The sequence below is a fragment of the Homo sapiens genome, chromosome 4 (genome assembly GCF_000001405.40).
Source record: "Homo sapiens chromosome 4, GRCh38.p14 Primary Assembly".
Lineage (NCBI taxonomy): Eukaryota > Metazoa > Chordata > Mammalia > Primates > Hominidae > Homo > Homo sapiens.
The window spans coordinates 2,419,350-2,439,432 of record NC_000004.12 but is presented as its reverse complement, the minus strand read 5'-3'; the positions used below and the strand labels follow the sequence as shown (position 1 = coordinate 2,439,432).

At 54.7% G+C, this 20,083-nt stretch overlaps 1 protein-coding gene across 2 annotated transcripts in view, besides 4 other annotated features; it reads right to left on the bottom strand.

The window, feature by feature from the left end:
• The window catches only part of CFAP99 (cilia and flagella associated protein 99), a 44,048-nt gene that overhangs the window by 23,570 nt on the left and 395 nt on the right, over positions 1 to 20,083 (bottom strand). For both annotated transcript variants that reach the window (NM_001193282.4, XM_047415685.1), the window contains exons 2-4: positions 12,847 to 12,974; positions 2,415 to 2,559; positions 1,269 to 1,363 (exon numbers count right to left, since the gene is read on the bottom strand). In NM_001193282.4, the coding sequence (NP_001180211.2) occupies positions 1,269 to 1,363; positions 2,415 to 2,559; positions 12,847 to 12,957 (351 nt within the window). In that variant the 5' untranslated portion in view covers positions 12,958 to 12,974. The remainder of the gene's footprint in view (positions 1 to 1,268; positions 1,364 to 2,414; positions 2,560 to 12,846; positions 12,975 to 20,083) is intronic.
• Positions 14,319 to 14,907: an enhancer, noted in NCBI's record as "H3K4me1 hESC enhancer chr4:2426253-2426841 (GRCh37/hg19 assembly coordinates)". NCBI's record gives its function as "activates a minimal SCP1, AML or CMV promoter by ChIP-STARR-seq in primed H9 embryonic stem cells {active_cell/tissue: H9 hESC(primed)}" and the evidence as "EXISTENCE:reporter gene assay evidence [ECO:0000049][PMID:30033119]".
• Positions 14,908 to 15,497: an enhancer, noted in NCBI's record as "H3K4me1 hESC enhancer chr4:2425663-2426252 (GRCh37/hg19 assembly coordinates)". NCBI's record gives its function as "activates a minimal SCP1, AML or CMV promoter by ChIP-STARR-seq in primed H9 embryonic stem cells {active_cell/tissue: H9 hESC(primed)}" and the evidence as "EXISTENCE:reporter gene assay evidence [ECO:0000049][PMID:30033119]".
• Positions 15,498 to 16,087: an enhancer, noted in NCBI's record as "H3K4me1 hESC enhancer chr4:2425073-2425662 (GRCh37/hg19 assembly coordinates)". NCBI's record gives its function as "activates a minimal SCP1, AML or CMV promoter by ChIP-STARR-seq in naive H9 embryonic stem cells {active_cell/tissue: H9 hESC(naive)}" and the evidence as "EXISTENCE:reporter gene assay evidence [ECO:0000049][PMID:30033119]".
• Positions 16,088 to 16,678: an enhancer, noted in NCBI's record as "H3K4me1 hESC enhancer chr4:2424482-2425072 (GRCh37/hg19 assembly coordinates)". NCBI's record gives its function as "activates a minimal SCP1, AML or CMV promoter by ChIP-STARR-seq in naive H9 embryonic stem cells {active_cell/tissue: H9 hESC(naive)}" and the evidence as "EXISTENCE:reporter gene assay evidence [ECO:0000049][PMID:30033119]".

Sequence of the window (20,083 nt, the reverse complement as noted above, 5' to 3'; positions counted from 1 at the left end):
AGCTGCTTCCTTCAAGAGAGACCTCGAAGATCTGGGCCCAGGGGCTTTCCCACTCACTTCTCCAGGGAGTGGCTCTCCTTGGCTGGAAACTGTCCCCTCCATGCAGAGTAAGGAGGAGCAAGCCAGTGGCTAAAAGTCTTGTCTGGGAATTGGCTGCGCTACCCTCTTGCTGTGTGACATTGGGCAGATTACTTATCCTCTCTGTGCCCCAGTTTCCGCAACCCTGGGATGAGTACCATGTAGGAGCAACCTCACTGGGTCGTTGTAAGAATGGAGCAAGAACAAGCACCATGAGTGTCCGGGAAAACCTGGCAGTCAGTGTGAGCAGGCAGCAGCCAGCAACAGGCCCAGGCCCAAACATTTCGGTCCAGAGGCCTGTGTGTGCCAGCTTCCCACGCAAGTGGCCCCAGGCAGTCAGGGGCGTGGGCTCCTGCAGGCTCCCCCTCGGGGTGCCAATCCTCATCACTGGCCCTGAACCAATTCCCTTGGACCCCTGAAGCTGCACAGGGAGGAGAGGCTGTTCTGGGCCTCGGATTTGATTATGAGTCAGAAGAGGCCCCCAGGAGCGGAATCGGATTTCCCCAGGACAAAAGCAGCACATTCACCCACACTAGTTGGTGTGCATTGGGTTTTTTGTTGTTGTTGTTGTTTCTTTGTTTTTTAGAGACGGGGTCTTGCTGTGTCACCCAGGCCCAAGTGCAGTGGTTCAATCACTGCTCACTGCAGCCTCAAACTCCTGGACTCAAGTGATCCTCCCGCTTCAGCCTCCCAAGCAGGTGGGACTACAGACGGGAGCCACCATGCCCAGCTTGCTACTTCTTTGAAATACAGAAGAAAACCACCAGAGTTTCTTTCATTAAAACCAACCAGAGGCCGGGCGTGGTGGCTCACGCCTGTAACCCCAGCACTTTGGGAGGCCGAGGCGGGCGGATCACGAGGTCAGGAGATTGAGACCATCCTGGGTAACATGGTGAAACCCCGTCTCTACTAAAAATACAAAAAAATAGCCGGGTGTGGTGGCGGGCGCCTGTAGTCCCAGCTACTCGGGAGGCTGAGGCAGGAGAATGGTATGAACCCGGGAGGCAGAGTTTGCAGTGAGCTGAGATCGCGCCACTGCCCTCCAGCCTGGGCGACAGAGTGAGACTCCGTCTCAAAACAAACAAACAAACAAACAAAACAACCCAACCAGAATGACGAAAGGTGGGCGAGGATCAGACGGACCTCACCCGTGGGCCTCGTGGCCTGGTGGGCAGGTAGGGGTGGCTCACCTTGCACATCTTATCCACGGGCTGGGACTTGATGATGTTACAGAATAGCTGGAAGCCGAGTTCCTCCAGCAGGAATGTGGCTAGGTAGCAGATCACTAGAAAACAGGGGGTCTGTCAGAGGCTAAGGGACGTCACGGGGCACCAGGCACACGGCGGGACCGGAGCCGAAGGCCTCCACCGTGTCAGGGCACGCAGCCACAGGAAAACCCCCACCCTATTGGTGCCCACCTGAAAATGATAAGCGAACACAAACAACATTGTCTTAGAGTGCAATGCATTTGTGGTTTCAAAGCACTTTGACAAATAATCCCATCTGATAAGTTCTCAGAATTTGCAAAGGCTCCCCAGGTAAAAGTGAAATCATTTTGGACTTGTTTGTCAATTTCTGAGCAGCTGAATCGTCACCTCAAGCCGGCTAGAATGTGAATAAACCTGGGCCCGAGTTTCCGCCAAGGCAGGAACTGTAACGGGCCCCTAGCCTGTGGCCTGGACGCGCTGCGCATCATAAGGCTCCAGCTGGGTGGCAAGGGGTCGGGACAGGAGCCTAGCTCAGGACTGGCATCAGCTGCTCAGCTCAGTCTCCCAGTACCCTACAGCGCTCGCCCCACTCCTCTCCCTTCCTGGACGGGGGCAGCAAGACCCTGTGCAGGGTCTCAGGGCTGCCCTGATCTCCCCCCAGCAGCACTGGCCACCTGGCTTGCAATGGTCGCCCTGCCCCATGAAAGCAGACGGCTGTCAGAGGCTGCAGGAAGCCCAGGCAGCGAGTCTCTTGTATCTAATCCCCCACAGGACTGTCCAGACGGCAGCCACAGGGTCCATCTTGTCCAAAGGCCTCGGGGTCAGTGGTGGCTAGGGGTCAGCCTACGGAAGGCTCTCGTGTTGTCCGGGCTGCCTTTGGGAGCTGGATGCCCTAAACTGGGGTGGCAGAGCCAGGTCTGTCTGCCCTGGGGCATCAGTTTCCCATCTGCAAGGTCCTGGTCCGCCTGGTAAGGACCAAGTGAGGTGAGGAGCCGGGAAGCCTCCAGTGCAAGGGCAGGAAGGAGGAGCTGGCCCCGCCTGCCCGCTGCCTGCCTGCCAGGCCTTTCCGCAGAGAGCCTGAGTGAACCGTCTCTACGGCCTGGCCCTGGGGACCAGCCAGGCACCTACCCTCGAAGCGGCTGTGGTCAACCCGCAGGCAGAGTCGGCCATCCTCCACGTAGAAGGCATCCACCACGACGGTCAGCAGCTTCCGGTACTCGAGGCACCCAGACAGAACCTCCAAAACAAAGCTCTGCTTCTGGGGGCTCAGAGCCTGGAAGAGAGACAGCCGGTGGGGGGCCCTGGCTGGGCCGGGAGGAAAGGGCGGCGGTGGGGGTGGGACACTTGGGCAAAGGCAGGGGTGGAGCGGCCCCGGGGCTGCAAAGGGCCTGTTAGTGGGGCCCCCAAGGCAGCTGGCAGTGCCTCCCCACTCAGGAACTGGTCCCCAGATTCTCCTGGGTTTGCCAAGTGAGGTCAGGGCAAAGACAGAAATAAACGAAGATGATGAGGCAGTGCAAGGAATGACACAAGGGACAAGTACTGTGCGGTTCCAGCTAATGAGAACAGGCTGCCGCATCCAGGCAGAGCAGAGAGTGCCAGGGGCCAGCGGGCATGAGAGTCGCCTAATGCAGACAGAGCTTCAGTTCGCTCGGATGAAAAGCTTCTGCAGATAGAGGGCAGTGATGGATGCACAACAGCGGGAATGTGCCTAACCCCACGGAACTCTACGCTGAAAAATGGCTACAGTGGTACATTTTATGTCATGTATTTTACCACAATAATATTTTCAAATGAACCCATAAAGGTTTTCAAATGAATGAATTAAAAAATAACCAAAATGAATGATGCATGAGCAAGGAACATCTCTGCAAGGGCGTGTCAAGTGTAAACTTAGCCGGGTATGGTGGTGCATGCCTGGAGTTCGAGGTGGGGCAATGGAGTGGGACCCTGTCTCACAAAGCAGAAGGAATCTCATTGTTTTAGTCTGGATTTTTAAATTAGCAGTGAAAATTTCATATATCTATATATATCTATATATACATATATATAGATTTTTTTTTTTTTTGAAGTTTTTGAGACAGGGTCTCACTCTGTCGTCCAGGCTGGAGTGCAGTGGCAGAATCACTGCTCACTCTCAGGCTGCCTTCCCACCTCGGCCTCCTGAGTAGCTGCTCCCCACCTCGGCCTCCTGAGTAGCTGCTCCCCACCTCGGCCTCCTGAGTAGCTGCTCCCCACCTCGGCCTCCTGAGTAGCTGCTCCCCACCTCGGCCTCCTGAGTAGCTGCTTCCCACCTCGGCCTCCTGAGTAGCTGCTTCCCACCTCGGCCTCCTGAGTAGCTGGGACTACAGATGCACACCACCATGCCTGGCTCATTTTTTAATTTTTTGTAAAGACTGGATCTCACCATGTTCCTCAGGCTGGCCTCTAACTCCTAGGCTCAAGCAATCCTCCTGCCTTGGCCTCCCAAAGTGTTGGGATTACAAGCGTGAGCCATTGTGTCCAGCCTCATATGTTTTCTGAACACTTGTATTTTTCTGTGAATTATCATTATTTAATAATTAATTTCACTTACAATGTGTTCTACGATACTGTAAATGATTAAATATAATTGGCTAAACTTTTTTTATTGGGATAACATTTTTCTTAGTCATTTTTATAAGGTCTCTATGTTAAGGCTATTAACATAGCCATAAATATGATAGTTATTTGTTGTAAGTTTTTAATTTGCCTTTTAACTTTGTATAAAATATTTTTGGGCATATAGAGCATGTAGGAATTTTACTTTTATTTTAGATCAAATCTGTCTTTTCCTTTGTGATTTTTTCAGTTGCTTTTTTTTTTTTTTTTTCTGAGATGGAGTCTTGCTCTGTCGCCCAGGCTGGAGTGCAGTGGTACAATTTCAGCTCACTGCAACCTCCGCCTCCTGGGTTCAAGCAATTTCCTGCCTCAGCCTCCCGAACAGCTGGGACTACAGGCTCCAGCCACCCACGCCTGGCTAATTTTTCGTATATTTAGTAGAGATGGGGTTTCACCATGTTGGCCAGGCTGGTCTAGAATTCCTGACCTCAGGTGATCTGCCTGCCTCGACCTCCCAAAGTGCTGGGATTACAGGTGTGAGCCACCCCACCCAGCCCTTCAGTTGCTTTTATACTAAGATAACAGGGTAACCAGCTAACCTGAAGCATTCTGCACAAGCCACATGACCTTGTGGGGCCTCAGTTTCCACACATGTGAATGAGAACAATCTGGGTACTGCTCTGCAAATAGGGCCATTCCCACGCCCTTCTAGCATCGTCCCTGCAGTGCAGGGGCTGGAGGCCTGAGAACTACAGGCTTCAGCAGCTCTGCCTCTGTGGATGTGGGTGCAGCCTGGGCTCTGCTAACAAGATATACACTTATGGGAGAACTGGTAGGGGCAAGATTGGGGGATGCGCCTTTTCTTCAGCTCCCCAGGGGTGGTAGATGCTGGGCTTCCCAGAGCCTTCTGCTCGCCCCTGCCTGTCCCACCCGATGTGGTGGGGAGCTGCTCCCTGCAGTGCTCTGACCAGCTGGGAGCCGGGACTGACCCAGCATGAGTTCCTCCAGCCCTTGCAACGGCTTTAAGCACAAGGTTCCCCGTGTTAAATTTAAATCCCTTTCTCTTGGGAGCGCCAGGACTGGCTTTTGGGCTCCTGCTGGAATGCCAGCTGGTAGCAACATTCTCCCGGGGACAGTCCTTCGTTCTAGGGCTCCGTTGTGGGTGCCTCTTTATCTTCTCAACCTCCACATATTGGAGGGGCTCAGGGTGCAGTTCCCCTATGGTGACGTTTGTTCATTATCCACTTTCTGAGTGATCTCAGCCAGCTTCGAGGCTGACAGCATTCTGATTGCCAAACGGATACCCCAGCTGGCCCCGCTCCCTGAACTCAATCCCTGAACTCAGAAACCTCGATCCTGCTGCCGCTGGGCCTTTCCCGGATACTGGGGCGGACATCACATGAATGCATCTGAAACCAGCCTCCTGGGCTTGGCCCAAGCCTGCCCCTGCCAACCTTGCGGCGCAGTAAACGTGGTTCCTTACTCCCAGCGTGTCTCTCGGTCTGTCTTCCTGGCCCTTCGGCTGGGGGACCCCAGCTGCTCTCCCTGCCTCTCCTCTTGCTCCCCTTCAAGTCTCTTTTTGACCCAGCAGTCAGGGCGAGGCTTCTCAGATGGATGTCGGGTCAGGCGTCCTTCCTCACCGTGGCCAGTGAGGCCCTGCATGGAAGTGCCCAGCTCCCTCGGAGTCCCCAGCCCGCCCTGGCTGTTCCAGTCACACTGGCCTCCTGTTTCCTCATCAGGGAACTGGCTTTTCCCTCTGCCTGAGAACTCCTCCCGGCATACTCGCCCCACGGCTGTGAGGACTGTGCTTCTGACCAGCCCTTGCAGGACATGGCCTGTCCCAGTCGCGGCATGGCTTGTTTACTGTCCCTTTCTTGGCTAGATGGCCACCTGGGCGCTCGCCAGAGAGGAAAGGGAATGCCCTGCCTCCACATAGATCGCGGGGACCCAGTGACATCCTGTGAGTGAGGCTGGGCATGGAGAGGGGGCTCGGTGGGTGAGGGCTCCCCCACTGAGCTGCTGGGAGGGGATCCTGCGGGGGGCTGGCTCTGATCTCAACAGCCAGGCTGGCACCTCAGTTTCCCTCTCAGCTTCCTGCAGTTGCCAGGCTGTACCCACACCGAGGGCACTGGTCCCCCCCCCGCCCCGTGTAACTGACAACATCTTGTCAGAGGAGCCCAGGAGCCAGGACAGACCCTTCCGAGAGCAGTGAGTCAGCGTGGCCGCTGAGGGTGATGACTTTGCGGGACTATGCTGACAACCTCCTCTGGCCTCCCCGGCTCAGGCACCGGCGACTCCGCTTCTCATCAATGACGTCTGTGTTTGGGAAGTGTGAGCATGCATTTTTCATAAGGTCGGAGCCTTGAGCCCTATGCCATCAGCCCCAGGCAAGGCGGGTTGGGCAGGGCCACTCTGGGCCGGAGGGTCCTGGAAGCTGCAGAGCTGAGTGAGGAGCCAGTAAATGACATCCCAGTCCACGCCAGGCTGGGCCGGGCCCACGGCCAGGTCCTTGCCACTGATGCTGGGCTGGCGGCTGCCAGGACACGTGGTGTCCAGCCTATTCACAGAGAGGGGCCTGGGGCCTGGGGGTGGGGGCAAGGGGTGACACATGCCTCAGGGGTGCTGGACCAGGTCCTTCTGACCAGGCCAGCAGAGATGGGCCTAGGCCGGGTGGGTTCTCTCTCCCAGAGGAGGCAGGAGAGGCCCTTGCTACAGGAGTGGGCTCCTAATGGGGAACCAGCCTCAGTCACTGAGACCGGCCTGTGGCTGCCCAAGGGTCTCTGAGTTTGTGATAAAATCTTGGGCCTTGGTCAAGCTCAGGGCTCCTCAGTCCCCAACCAGGGAGAGCAGCAGGCACTCAATAGCAAAGGGTCCAGCATTCACAATCGCTAGAGACTGCTGCAGGGGTTTCTCAGCACCTCCAGAAGTGCACTTGTCTGCTGGACTCACAGGGTTGGGGAAGAGCTAGACCAGGTCCAGGCCGGGGCAGGTTGGGGGAGGGGTGTGGGGCCAGGAGGCTAATTAACAACAGGATTTGTGATTCATGTCACCAATACCTGCTCATCAGTAATGCAAAGCCTGAAGTCAGTTAGAAAAGTAGGCAAAGGAAACGGAGGCTGCAGGGCCGCACTTCTCACTTAACAGAAAGAATGCCGTCCTGTTGGGCATGGTAATATGTCCAGCTAAAACCATATTTTGCAACTCTCCTTGATGATAGAGCCATGTGACAGTTTTAATCAGCAAAATGTAATGACAAATTGCTAGGTGTGGCCTCCAAGAAAGCACCTTGAAAGGAAGGTAGATTCAGCTGGCACATGCCTTATACTGTTTGCCTTTCTCCTCTCCTCACCTGGGATATAGATGCAATGCTGGAGGTAGGGCAGCCATTTAGTGACTATGAGGCAACAGTACATGTTAAGGATGGCTGCATGGAGAGGAACTGAATGAGTTCTTCATGGCATCATGGAGCTGCTGAACCCACTCTAGACTGCCTGTCTGCAGACTGCTTCTCATATGAGCAAAGATACCTTTAATTGATTAAAGCTACTGCTTTTATGGATTTTGTTGTATCCAAACACAGTTTCCTAACAGACACCGGTCCGAACAGATGGTTCAAAGTGAAATACATCTTGCTTCAAAACTTAGGAAAATATAACAAGAGAAACGATGATTATAAATACACAAAGCTGGCCAGGTGTGGTGGCTCGTGCCTGTAATTCCAGCTACTTGGGAGGCTCATGCACGAGAATTGCTTGAACCTGGGAGGTGGAAGTGGCCATGAGCTGTACTGCAACCTAGGTGAGGGAGTGTCTCAAAAAAAAAAAATAATAAAGTGACTTTTCCCACCTATTTGACGGGCAAAGATAATAATTTTTGCCCGCACATGAGGTTGGGGAGGGTGTACGGGAACAAGTGCTCCCTACCTGCCCAGGAGAGCAGCAGTGGATCTCCATGGAAAGCCAACTGGCAATCCACATTGAAAGCACGAGAGCCAATTACTCTCATAGCAAGAACATGTGTCTTCTTGGACTTGACCTTGGGTGCACCCAAGATGCAAAGGGACAGGTGGTCAGTCAGTCCCACAGTGGTTTGTAACATATCTCACCTCTAGATCCTTAACTTAATTACATCTGCACAGACCATATTTCTAAAGTCATATTCATAAGTAACCAGGGGTTAGAATTTCAACTTTTTTTTTTTTGAGACAGAGTCTTGCTCTGTCGCCCAGGCTTGAGTGCCGTGGTGCGATCTCGACTCACTGCAACCTCCGCCTCCCAGGTTCACGCCATTCTCCTACCTCAGCCTCCCGAGTAGCTGGGACCACAGGCACCCGCCACCATGCCTGGCTAATTTTTTTGTATTTTTAGTAGAAACGGGGTTTCACCATGTTAGCCAGGATGGTCTCGATCTCCTGACCTCGTGATCCACCTGCCCCGGCCTCTCAAAGTGCTGGGATTACAGGCATGAGCCACCGCGCCCGGCCAACATTTTTTTTTAAGAGCCAGGATCTTACTCTGTTGCCCAGGCTGCAGTGCAGTGGTGCAATCATAGCTCATCATAGCCTTCAACTCCTGGACTCAAGCAATCCTCCTTCCTTAGCCCCCGAGTAGCTGGGACTACAAGCACGTGCCACTGTGTTTGGCTAATTTTTACATTTTTTATAGAGAAAAGGTCTCACTGTGTGGCCTAGGCTGGTCTCAAACTCCTGGCCTCAAGCAATCCTCCTACCTCAGCCTCCCAACGTGCTGAGATTACAGGCATGAGCCACCATGCCTGGCTCATTTTTTTTCTTTTAGAGAGAAATGGGATCTTGCTATGTTGCCCAAGCTGGACACGAACTCCTAGGTTCAAGTGGATCTTCCTTCCCCAGATGTCCTAGTAACTGGGACTAGGTACGTGCCACCATGCCTGGCTTAGTACTTTTTTTTGGGGGAGGGGCACAATTTAACCCAAAACACTGCCTTTCACCGCAGTCTGCTGTCCGGAGTCTGCCATTTGGTTTACGTATTGCGTAATTTTCTGGCATTTCACCGCAGTCCGCTGTCCGGAGTCTGCCGTTTGGTTTACGTATTGCGTAATTTTCTGGCATTTCACCGCAGTCCGCTGTCCGGAGTCTGCCGTTTGGTTTACGTATTGCATAATTTTCTGGCATTTCACCGCAGTCCGCTGTCCGGAGTCTGCCGTTTGGTTTACGTATTGCGTAATTTTCTGGCATTTCACCGCAGTCCGCTGTCCGGAGTCTGCCGTTTGGTTTACGTATTGCGTAATTTTCTGGCATTTCACCGCAGTCTGCTGTCCGCAGTCTGCCGTTTGGTTTACGTATTGCGTAATTTTCTGGCATTTCACCGCAGTCCGCTGTCCGGAGTCTGCCGTTTGGTTTATGTATTGCGTAATTTTCTGGCATTTCACCGCAGTCCGCTGTCCGGAGTCTGCCGTTTGGTTTATGTATTGCGTAATTTTCTGGCATTTCACCGCAGTCTGCTGTCCGCAGTCTGCCGTTTGGTTTATGTATTGCGTAATTTTCTGGCAAGTGGCACTCTTGAGCCTTGGCCTAGCAAAATCAGTGAATTGCAACAATTTCTTGATAGCTGGAGAGGAAAGCGAGTTGTCCAAACTGGATCAGGATCCAATGCACCATTCCTCTCGGACTTGTGAGGGGCTTTTGAAAGCATCTGAAAAGGCTGGGTGCAGTGGCTCATGCCTGTAATCCCAGCACCTTGGGAGGCCGAGGCGGGCGGATCACAAGGTCAGGAGATCAAGACCATTCTGGCTAACACAGTGAAACCCCGTCTCTACTAAAAATACAAAAAATTAGCTGGGCGTGGTGGCGGGCGCCTGTAGTCCCAGCTACTCGGGAGGCTGAGGCAGGAGAATGGCGTGAACCCAGGAGGCGGAGCTTGCAGTGAGCAGAGATGGCGCCACTGCACTCCAGCCTGGGTGACAGAGTGAGACTCTGTCTCAAAAAAAAAAAAAAAAGAAAGAAAGAAAAGATCTGAAAAACCAGTGCCTCTGAGGAACAAGCCTGCTTGCCACCAATGGGGGCATCTGTGCAGATCCATGCTGGGCAGCCCCCTGGATATCCGTTGTGTCTGCCGCTGCCAGTTTGCCGGTAGGATCGGTGTGCCAGGCTCCCCGTGGAAATGCACACCTGTGATAGTCACATTGTGACTCACCAGGTAACATATTAGTCTCATCTACCACTAATAATCTGTGGGTTATAGAAAACAAACCCAACCCAAACTATTTGTTGTAACAAACTCATTTTTTTTGTAATGGTTATTATCAAGAAATAAAGACATGAACTTTACCACTTTTTGCTTGAGGAAGGGGTAAACACACACCCCTTTCCCTGCCAAGGTGCTATGTGGCTGCGCAGGCCAAGACAGCATCAGGGGGAAAGTTTCCCAGGTGGAGGCAACAGCTAGTGCAGTGGGGAGCGCGTGGAATGTTCCAGAAACACTAGGAGACCAGTGCAGCTGGAGCAGAGTGCACACATGGCAGAGTCGAAGGCAGAGCTGATGATGAACAGATGTGGTCTAGAGGAATGGGGGTGCCCAGGAGGCGCCAGGGTTCCCACTGGAGCAAGGGGAGACGGAGCGGCTGCCGGCTGAACTGGGGATGCCCGGATCAGCAGCTCTGGGGGAGGTCACATGGATTCATTCATCTACTGACGTGTCACACGGGAGGTGCCCACTGGACACCCAAGGAGATGTGAGTCCAGGCTCGGGAGAGGTCAAGGATGGAGGGAGGAGCAGGAGCTGTCAGCAGGCGAGGGGACCAGGAGTGTGTATAGCAAAGAGAGCAGAGAGCAGCCGCTGAGCCCGTGCACCCCGCACACCCGACAGGGGAGGCCCGAGCCTGAGAAGGAGTGGCTGCCAGGTGAGATGCAGGCCTGGCGCAGGGGGTACCCAGGAAGCTGATCGGAAGGCCCCGGAGCTGGGGGCGGGGTCAGCTGGGTCAGAGGAGCTGAGGCTGCCCCACTGGATTTGGCAACAAGGGGGTGCGGGGTGACCCAGACTGGCGCTGTGGGTGGAGGGGTGGGGGAAGTCCGCAGGGAGGGGTGTGAGGGAGGATGGAGGAAGAGCTGCCGCTGGTGGCAGGGACTTCGAGGAATCTGTTAGATAGAAGGGAAGGACCGCGGGAGCCTCAGGGGAGTACAGAGGACTTAAAAAAAATGTTTTTAGGGTGAGAGACGTAGCAGCACGGGTGGCTGACGGGAAAGATCCTGAGGGAAATGAGGGGGACGGATAGGAGGAGCTGCTGGAGCTGCTCTTGGGCTGGCCAGAGGGGCCGGGCTACAGGTGGGCCCAGGCAGTGGGGTGGGTGACGCCAGCTCCCAGGACGGGCTTCTGGCCAAGGGGACCTGGGCCTTCGCTATTGTCTGTTTTGGACGTGCAAGGCGAGGGCAGGCCGGCGGGATGAGAGGTGTGCCCGTCGTGCTGAGGCCTTAGCTGGGAAGAGGAGTGTGGATGAACCTGGGCCCGAGCTGTTTGCATCACTTCCCCACAGTGCTCAGGGGCTCAGGGAAAGAGCTGGGGGCCAGAGGGTGCTGAAGTGGAGGGAGAGGTGCCCACGGAGGCCTGCAGCTCTGCACACAGGCCCTGCTCCCCTCTCCAGCCCCTGCTGGCTGCCAGGCCCCAGCCGGAGGAGGCGCCTCTTCCAGAAGCTGGGAGCAGGGATGGGTGGGGGCCCCAGGCCTTCTCTTACGGCAGAGGCCTTGGCCCCAACCCCTGTAGCCTTTGTAACCCACTCACACCACCTCCCCTCTGGGCTTTCTTGAGGCTGCCCCAGAGGTAGCTAATGAAGGATGAACCCCTCATTCTACCCCAAGGGAAGGTGGGCTCAGACTGTGGCCTGGGGGAACAGCACAGGTGCACCTGAGCAGGTAGTGAGAGCGGGAGCTGGAGCATGGCCAGGGCAGCCCCCAGGGGCCGTGCAGAAAAGCAGCGCACATAGGCCAAGTTCATCCAGAGCACAGCGGCACAGAGGGCTGTGGCCTGCAAGGACAGGCAGGCAGCCTGAATTAGCACACTTGCTATGAGCGCCCTCTTTCCAGGGGGCGAGTGCCCGCTCCCTGCTCCTGGGCAATGATGGGTTGGTGATGGCCCATGTGACAGCCCCCCAGGATTTCCCCTGGTGGGCTCAGCTTCCTCTGGAGGCCCCATCCAATGGAGACCAAGTCCCACATTCCTAGAGGCAGGGGCCCTGCAATCCAAGCTCCTGTTCCCCAGGCACATGCCACTGACAGGTGGTGGATGTGAGATCAGCACCTCGTGGTGGGAGCTGAGACCAGGTGACAGGGAGGCCCCTGAGTGGGGCAGGGCTGCCGAGGTTGCAGGGGGTGCCAGGACCAGGATGGAGCTGTGAGGAAAACCCAGGGATGGGAGGACAGGAGCTGAGGAGTTGGGCAGCCTCCAGGTGGGCCTGTGACTTCTTCCAGGTGTGGGTAGGAAGATGAAGGAGGTGTGTACAGAAGCCTGCAGCCCTCGGCTCCCCGGGAGCCTCACTGCCCAGGCCAGCCCCTGCCTCTGTCGGAGACCCAGTCAGTGATTCCCAAGTCTCGGTTACCACAAATACAGCACAAGTTGTGGCCTTGCGCACCCTCACTGCCACAGCCCTGGGGCGCCTGGGGGATGGAGGACCCATTTCCCGAGATAAGATGCCCCCCAAAGTGGGGGTGGGGCATGGGGGCGCTCCAGGGCTGACCCTTCTCATCTGTGTTGACTGAGGATGGAACCGCAGTGTGGATGTCATATCCCGGGTCCCGGCCAAGGCTTCTTTCACCAGAGCCTGGCCTGACACACATTCTGGGTGCCAGGAGCACCTCCCCATACGAAGAGCAGGTCTCTGTGGAAAACACGGTCAGCTTCTCCCCATGTGGAAGGAAGGCAGTCGTTAGGAAGGCATTTGATGCTGTTAACCAGAACAGCTGCACAACAGGTGCCATTGGCGTGGCCTCCCAGCAGCCCCCAGCAGATCCTACCTGCAGGGAGGTGGCCGCAGCCTCCAGGAACTGCTCAGGGTTGTCCCTCTTGGGTGTAAATTTGTCGAGTTGCTCGATCACAGTTTCAATGCATTTTCCATAGTAGGCCATCTTCTTAGGGCAGAAGCCTAAGAACAAACCGTGCAGGTCACGCCCTCCACACCTGGGATGTAGCCGCAGGACCCTCCCCAGCAGCGACAGGAGTCTGCCAGGGTGTTGGGCCTGTAGCAGCAGGAAGACCGGATGTGACTGGGGGCCCTGGCTAGGGTGCCGGGCCTACAGCAGTGGGGAGGGCCGGATGTGAGTGAGGGCCCTGGCAGGTACCCCAAGGTGCATGTCCTGCACTGTCTCCTGCAGGCCTCTGCGGCTCAGGGGCCCAGGCTGGCCTGGGTGAGTTCACCATCAGGTCACCCCCATCACCACAGACCGAAGCTGGCCGAGTGCCCCTCAGGCCCCACAGCCATGCCTCCTGGATGGGGTGACCCCTGCAAGGGGCCCACGGCAGAGAGCACAGGCACCTCTCGAAACAGCCTCTGAGCGTCCCTCAGCTTTGCCCGGGAAGGTGACGGTTTCTTCATCAGGCCCTGCTGGGGAGCAGAAGGTCCTGGGTGAGGGTGACCTCATCACACATGGTTGGGGCAAGAAGGAGCCTGGGGTCCCTGGGGTCAACGCCGCCATCCTGACGATGGGGGAACAGGGCCCTGGGGAGGGCTTGCGGGGGCACTGAACACTCCAGAGGTGCAGCAGTTCCAGGGGACAGGCTTGCCCAGAGCCCCTCCCAGGGGACCTTGGAGAAGCTGCCTAGGGGGAGGCTGGGACCCTGGGAACCAGCTCTAAGGACAACATGTGGCCCCCAAACTATCCTCAGAGGAGGCGGGGCCTGTCAGCAAAGGCCGTCATCCTTGGGTGTGGTGCAGGCCTGGGCTCCAGCTGGACTACGCAGGACAGTAGGGCAGCGCTGGGCAGAGGGGGGCCCTTCTCACCCTCCTCTTGCTCCATGACTGACCCACTGCTCTGGGCCAGGCTGGGCTTGAAGGGCCACCAAAGTTGGGGACAGTGGGAGCACCTCTCCTCTACCCTGCAACAAGCTAGAACAGCCCCAGGTAGCAGTCCCCAGACCTGGACCCTCCAGGCTGGGGACTGACTAAAAACATGCAAGCGACCCCCACCAACCACCACTGACACTGGAGGGTCCTTGGTGAGACACCGATCCTGGCCGTGCTGAAGGGTCCATGTTGACCTGCCCCCTGACTCTCTCCCTGGCCAAGACTCAGAGAGAAGGGGAGGCCAGGTGTCACCAGACACTTTAGAGAAATCTCTGACATGAAACATAGAAACCATAAGAAAAGAACCAGGAGAAAACGATGCACAAGGCAGGAAAAAGCCTAGAAACCAGGCACTGCCATGCAAGAGAAGAGGAGATACAGCGTCCAAGGAACAAGCAATGGCTGGAGAAAAAGAGAGGGCTCGTGAAAACCAAAATACGATGACAGAACTAAAAACATAAACAGGAGACGGAAGGTAAAGTTGAGGAAATCTCCCTGAGTAGAAAAAGATGAAGCTATAGAAAGTAGGGGAAAACGCTAAGAAAATCAGGGAACGATTCCTGAAGGTCCAAACCCCAATTAACAGGAGTTCCAGAGAGACAAGAGAGAGAAATAACAAGAAAACGCCCTAGAACTGAAGGATGCGGTCTTCTGGACGGACAAGGCCCACTGGCAGCTTAGCACAGGGAATGAGTCATGATATTTCAGAGCCAGGGACGCCCCGAACACGTTCAGTGCAGGAAGAGTCAGGGATGCAGAGGAGTCTCGGCTGGGGGTGCCCTGGGAAGCAGGGGCTGAACCCAAGTGACTGTCGTTGTGGGGAATTTCCAGGCTGCGATGCAGGTAGCCCCAAGGTGACACTGGCTGGCAGGACAAGGACAGAGCAGGAGGGCAGGGGCTCCCGGGGGTGTCTCCAGGAGGAGCACCTGGCATGTTCTGTGAGTGGGTTTAGCTGCACAGTTAGGGAAAGAGGCTGTGACGCTGGACCTGGCTAGGGATGGCATCAGCCCAGGGCCTGTGTCCCCACCTCCCTGCTGGCTGCACCACCTGAGGCCTGACATGGGCTGTTCTTTTTTTTTCTTTTTTTGAGATGGAGTTTTGCTCTTGTTGCCCAGGCTGGAGTGCAATGGCGTGCTCTTGGCTCACTGCAACCTCCATCTCCCAGATTCAAGCGACTCTCCTGCCTTAGCCTCCTGAGTAGCTGGGATTACAGGCACCCACCACCATGTGGCTATTTTTTGTATTTTTGTATAGCCACCATGTGGCTAATTTTTGTATTTTTTTAGGAGAGACAGGATTTCGCCATGTTGGCCAGGCTGGTCTCAAACTCCTGACCTCAGGTGATCTGCCTGCCTCAGCCTCCCAAAGTGCTGGGATTACAGGCGTGAGCCACCACGCCAGGCTGTCCTTTTAGGGGCTGCTTTAGGGACCAGCCTGGCTGTGCATGGACACAGAGGCCAGCAGGAGCCTCTCTCTAAGGAGGCCAGAAGAAAGGCCGCTTGGAATTTGGAAATCTGGCTTGAAGCCCTGGTGCTGAAAACAGGCCCTGGAGACCAGGCCTCCCAGAACAAAGCGAGCATGAGCCTCTGGCACAGCCAGGACCGTCACTGCCCGGGAGCCTGCCCTGGGCCCCGGCTGGGTCCCCCTCCCCCCACCCCATGTCTGGAGACCAGCAAGGCTGCCTGGAGGTGCGTTCCTGCGCCAGTGCGGTCCTGATGATTCGGGGCAAGGGAAGAGACAGTGATGCTGCTGGCTTGGAGAACACCAGATCAGAAGCCATTAAACCCGCAAATCCACAGATGCTGAAATCTAGATGCTGCAGCCAGGCTTGCCTGGGCAAGATGAGAGAGGTTTGTGGGTGAGGCTGCCCAGACCCTCTGAGGGTTCCCACCCCCTTCATGGCCTGCCCCTGGGGACCTGCCACCTAAGCTGCCTCAGCCCATCCTGCGGGAAACCTTTGCTTCTTGGAAGGCTGGGCCATGGAAGAGAGACCACCCACACCCCACCCCAGCCTCAGGGTCCTTTCACTCTCCTCTGATCCCCTCTAGCTGAGTCTCTGGCGTGGGGATTTCAACAGCTGTGAGCAGAAAGGCCCAGGAGGCCCACTGAGCACCCTCCCCTGAGCCTGCCAAGGCAGGAATACTCAGGGCAGGGCCTTAAGCTTGTGACAGGCTCACCCTAAGTCCCTGCTCTCTCTGAATTCAGCCCCTCTCCTCGGGAGGGTCCCAGCAGGCCAGGCCACCAGTATGGCAGGGGTGCGGTGCGGTGTGGTGCAGTGTGGGCGTGGTGGCCAACCCTGGTGGGTAGGTGGATCCAGGCAGCCATAACACAGCCAGGGGGCAATAGGCTGCTGGCAGCAGGAAGCACTTTTCTGGGGCATTGCTCTTTGGGGAGGGGGGACTTGTGGCTTTCACTCCAGGCATTGCTGAGAGCAGTGGGGGCTCCCTGTAGGCAGTGAGCTCACAGCTCACAAATCCCACTCCCCATCTTCGCCAGGGTCAGCCACACTGAGACGTTTTTTAAAACTCCACAGCGTAACTGGGGACTTCTCTACAAAAAAATTAAAGAATGACTCAGGTGTGGTGGCACGCCTGTAGTCCTAGCTCCTTGGGGGGCTGAGGTGGGAGGATCCCTTGAGCCCAGGAGGTTGAAGGTGCTTTGGGCTATGTCTGTGCTACCACACTCTAGGCTGGGTGACACATTGAGATCCTGTCTAATAAATAAATGTAAAGGTCTACTTCTAGAGAAACAATGTTAAAGAGTGAGTTTTCTTGCCCTGCCTCCACGTCACGTTGTGGGTCAGGCTGCCCTGGGATGGGGTCCCCTTGCCCCAGCCTTTTTGAATCTGCTCTGGATACAGCTCTGCCTGGAGGAACAGGGTATACACCCAGGAAAAGGGCCCCTTCTTGCGCCTGGTGGGGGCGGTGAGAGTGGATGGTCTGCATGTGTGTGGTGGGAGCTGCTGCCAAGGTGGAACAGTTTCCCTGCCGTCTCCCCCTGTCCTGGAGCTGGAGCATTCTGGAGAAAGGATGATCCTAGGTACCCTTTGGTGATGCAAATCGAGGAGGAGGAAGAGGGCCATGCCAAGCCCGCCCCCCAATCCAGGGCGGACCTGGTAGGAATGAACTGGAAGGAATAAATGGACAAACCAAGTTGAAGATGGGGACGGGGGTGAAGAGCTCCTTTGGAGTCCAGCCTGACTCAAATTGTCCTGCCCTGCCCCTGGAACCCTGGTTCACTGTCCGGCCTGAAGGTCCCTGGGGCGGGGCCTCTGCACCCCTGAATCTGGCGCAGAGCAGGTGTATGTGAAGGTGAATGTAAGGAAAAGAGATGCTTGAATTCTGAATCCCACTGAAATTAGCCTAGGAACTTCATCAAAACAATCACCTCTTTGGGGAGGAAATAGGTACTAAAATTCATCCAACTGTGACGCCTGCTTTCAGCATCTCAGCTACATTCATGCATTCTCAAATTCTCAGCCTGATTTTATTTTTTTCCTGATTTAGGGTCTCACTCTGTCACCCAGGCTGGAGTGCAGTGGCTCGATGATAACTCACTGCAGCTCAAGTGATCCTCCTGCCTCAGCCTCCGGGGTAGCTGGGACTCTAGGCATGTACTACCACGCCCGACTAATTTTGTGCTTAATTTTTTTTTTTTTTTTGTAGAGACAGGGGTCTTACTATGTTGCCCAGGCTGGTCTTGAACTCCTGGCCTGAAGCGATCCTCCCACCTGAGCATTCCAAAGTTCAGCTTTAATAGTGAAGTACCATCTATGTGGGAAGTGGGATTTAATTCTCAAGTTTAAAGATTTTTTTCTCATATTGATTTTAACTCCATTGATCAGGACTTGACTATCTTATATTTAAGGCAACTTTAAAGGTGGGCTGGACTAGGCTGGGCGCGGTGGCTCATGCCTGTAATCCCAGCACTTTGGGAAGCCAAGGCGGGCAGATCACTTGAGATCAGGAGTTCCAGACCAGTCAACATGGTGAAAACCCATCTCTACTAAAAATACAAAAATTAGCCAGGCGTGGTGGCAGGTGCCTGTAATACCAGCTACTTGGGAGGCTGAGGCAGAGAATTGCTTGAACCCGGGAGGCAGAGGTCGCAGTGAGCTGAGATCGTGCCTCTGCACTCCAGCCTGGGCGACAGAGCGAGACGCCATCTCAAAAAAAAAAAAAAAAAAAAAAGGGTGGGCAGACTAAAGCTTCTCTTTCCTTAGGAAATATTTTATAGACACAAATGAGATTATATGAGGAGGTTTAAATTCCATCAGACACAAAACAGCTCAACACTCTCAACCACTAGGAGATAACTCATTTACCTAAGATCTCAAATGTATGTTAATTAAAATATAGTCTTTTCTCCCGATTAAAGCCAGTCTCCTAAGGGTTGCTACCAAGTCATGCCCCTATGGCTTGTGCTTAAAGCACAACCCCACGTGGCAGCTTTTGCTAGTTGCTTTTCAATCTCCACTACCCCTTTCCTCCCAAATAAGAAAACTCTGATTTTTAGCTGGGTCTACTGCTGCCCAATTGAAAGATGGCATTTCCCAGCCTCCCTGGCAGCTGGGGCATGGTTGTGTGGCTAAGTTCTCCCACCACCTTCAAGAAGTGGAAAGGTGTGAGACTTCTGGAAAGTCTCCCTGAACGAGAGAGGCATATCCATCTTCTCTTTTGCAGCTGGTTCCTGGGCCGAGGAGGTGATGGCAGGAATGTGGGCAGCCATCCTGGATCATGAAGAAACGTGAATGGCAGATAGAAAAGCTGATCCTTGAGGACTTTAGGGCTGCCATACCAACCACGATTGCCTCTCCATGGACCTCTTTTATAAAAATATGAGTAATATTCTTGTTTAGGCCACTGTGATGTTGGGATTTTTCAATACATGCAGCTAAACCTAACTGATACCCCACTTCCCCAAGTTCAGCCTTCATCCCATGCACAATTTCAAACTATAAAACACAGGAAGGGAGCCTCTGAGCAGATACAACTGCTCCAGGCCTTGGAGTTGGCCAAGGATAGACCCACAGAGAACAGCCATTCACTCAGTGGACAAGCCCATCAAGTGTCTACCCCAAGATCCTGTGCTGAAGAAATGATGGCTTTGGGAGCAGCAGGTTTTATGGGGGAAGACTGAGAGTGTGGTTTGGGACACGTTAAATTTGAGAGGATCTGTTAGGCGTCCAAATGGTGAAGAACAGGTAAACAGGTCTGGAGTTTCAGGGTTGAGGCTAGAGATATAGGTTTTGAGAAGTTTGGGAGAAAATGGTTGTTTATAAAACCATGTAACTGTAGGAAATCCCCCAGGGAGGGAGTGGATAGAGTAGGTTCCAAGGACTGAGTCCAGGGTCTCCAGTGTTGAGAGGTCGGTGAGCAGGGGAGGCATCCAGCCAAGGAGATCAAGCAGGAGTGGCCAGGAGCGAGGAGGAGAAGTGGACAGTGGGATCTGTTTCAGCCAAGTGAGGATGCTGTGTCACGGAGAGGGCACAGTCGGCTGGGTCACGTGGTAGTGACAGTTCAAGGAAGAGATGAGCGCTGACCCCGATCATCGGATTTTGCAACATCAAGGTCAAGGATGACTTTGATAAAGAGCTTCAGAGGAGTGGTTGGGTGAAAATCTGATGGGAGTAGTTTCCAGAAAGAACAAGTGGGAAGGAATTGGAGATAAGGGGAAACTCCAGAGGGGTTTTGCCCTTCAGAGGGTCGACTGGGTGGTAGGAAGAGGAGAGTAGGGAAAATCAATCAGTTACTCAAAAATAAACATGGACCCTACCCCCAACTAAGAGAAATCTTAGATGCCAGCGCGCCTAGGCTCACATCGCGTCTGTTGGAATAAAGTGGTCATGGAGCCCACGGACCTTTCTGAGCACCTGGCACTGGCCAGTGAGGACAAGCAGGAACAGGTCAGACTTCTCAATTCTGAACCGAGGGGGGCATGACTTCCATCTCCTGTGTCTTACATCTGCACGTTTCACAACAAGCCAGAGACGTGGTGGTGGTGCGGCAGGGAAAAGTGCAGCGCTGTGGGGTCAGGCCGACCCAGATCCGCCGTGATCTGGATGCAACCCCCACAGCCAGGGCACGCCGGCCTCGTTGTGCCTGCTTCTCTGGCTGTCAATGGGAAGTTTAAGTGAGGCCACGTGTGGGTTTTTAGCTCTCTGCTTGACACATAGCAGGTACTCAGATTGA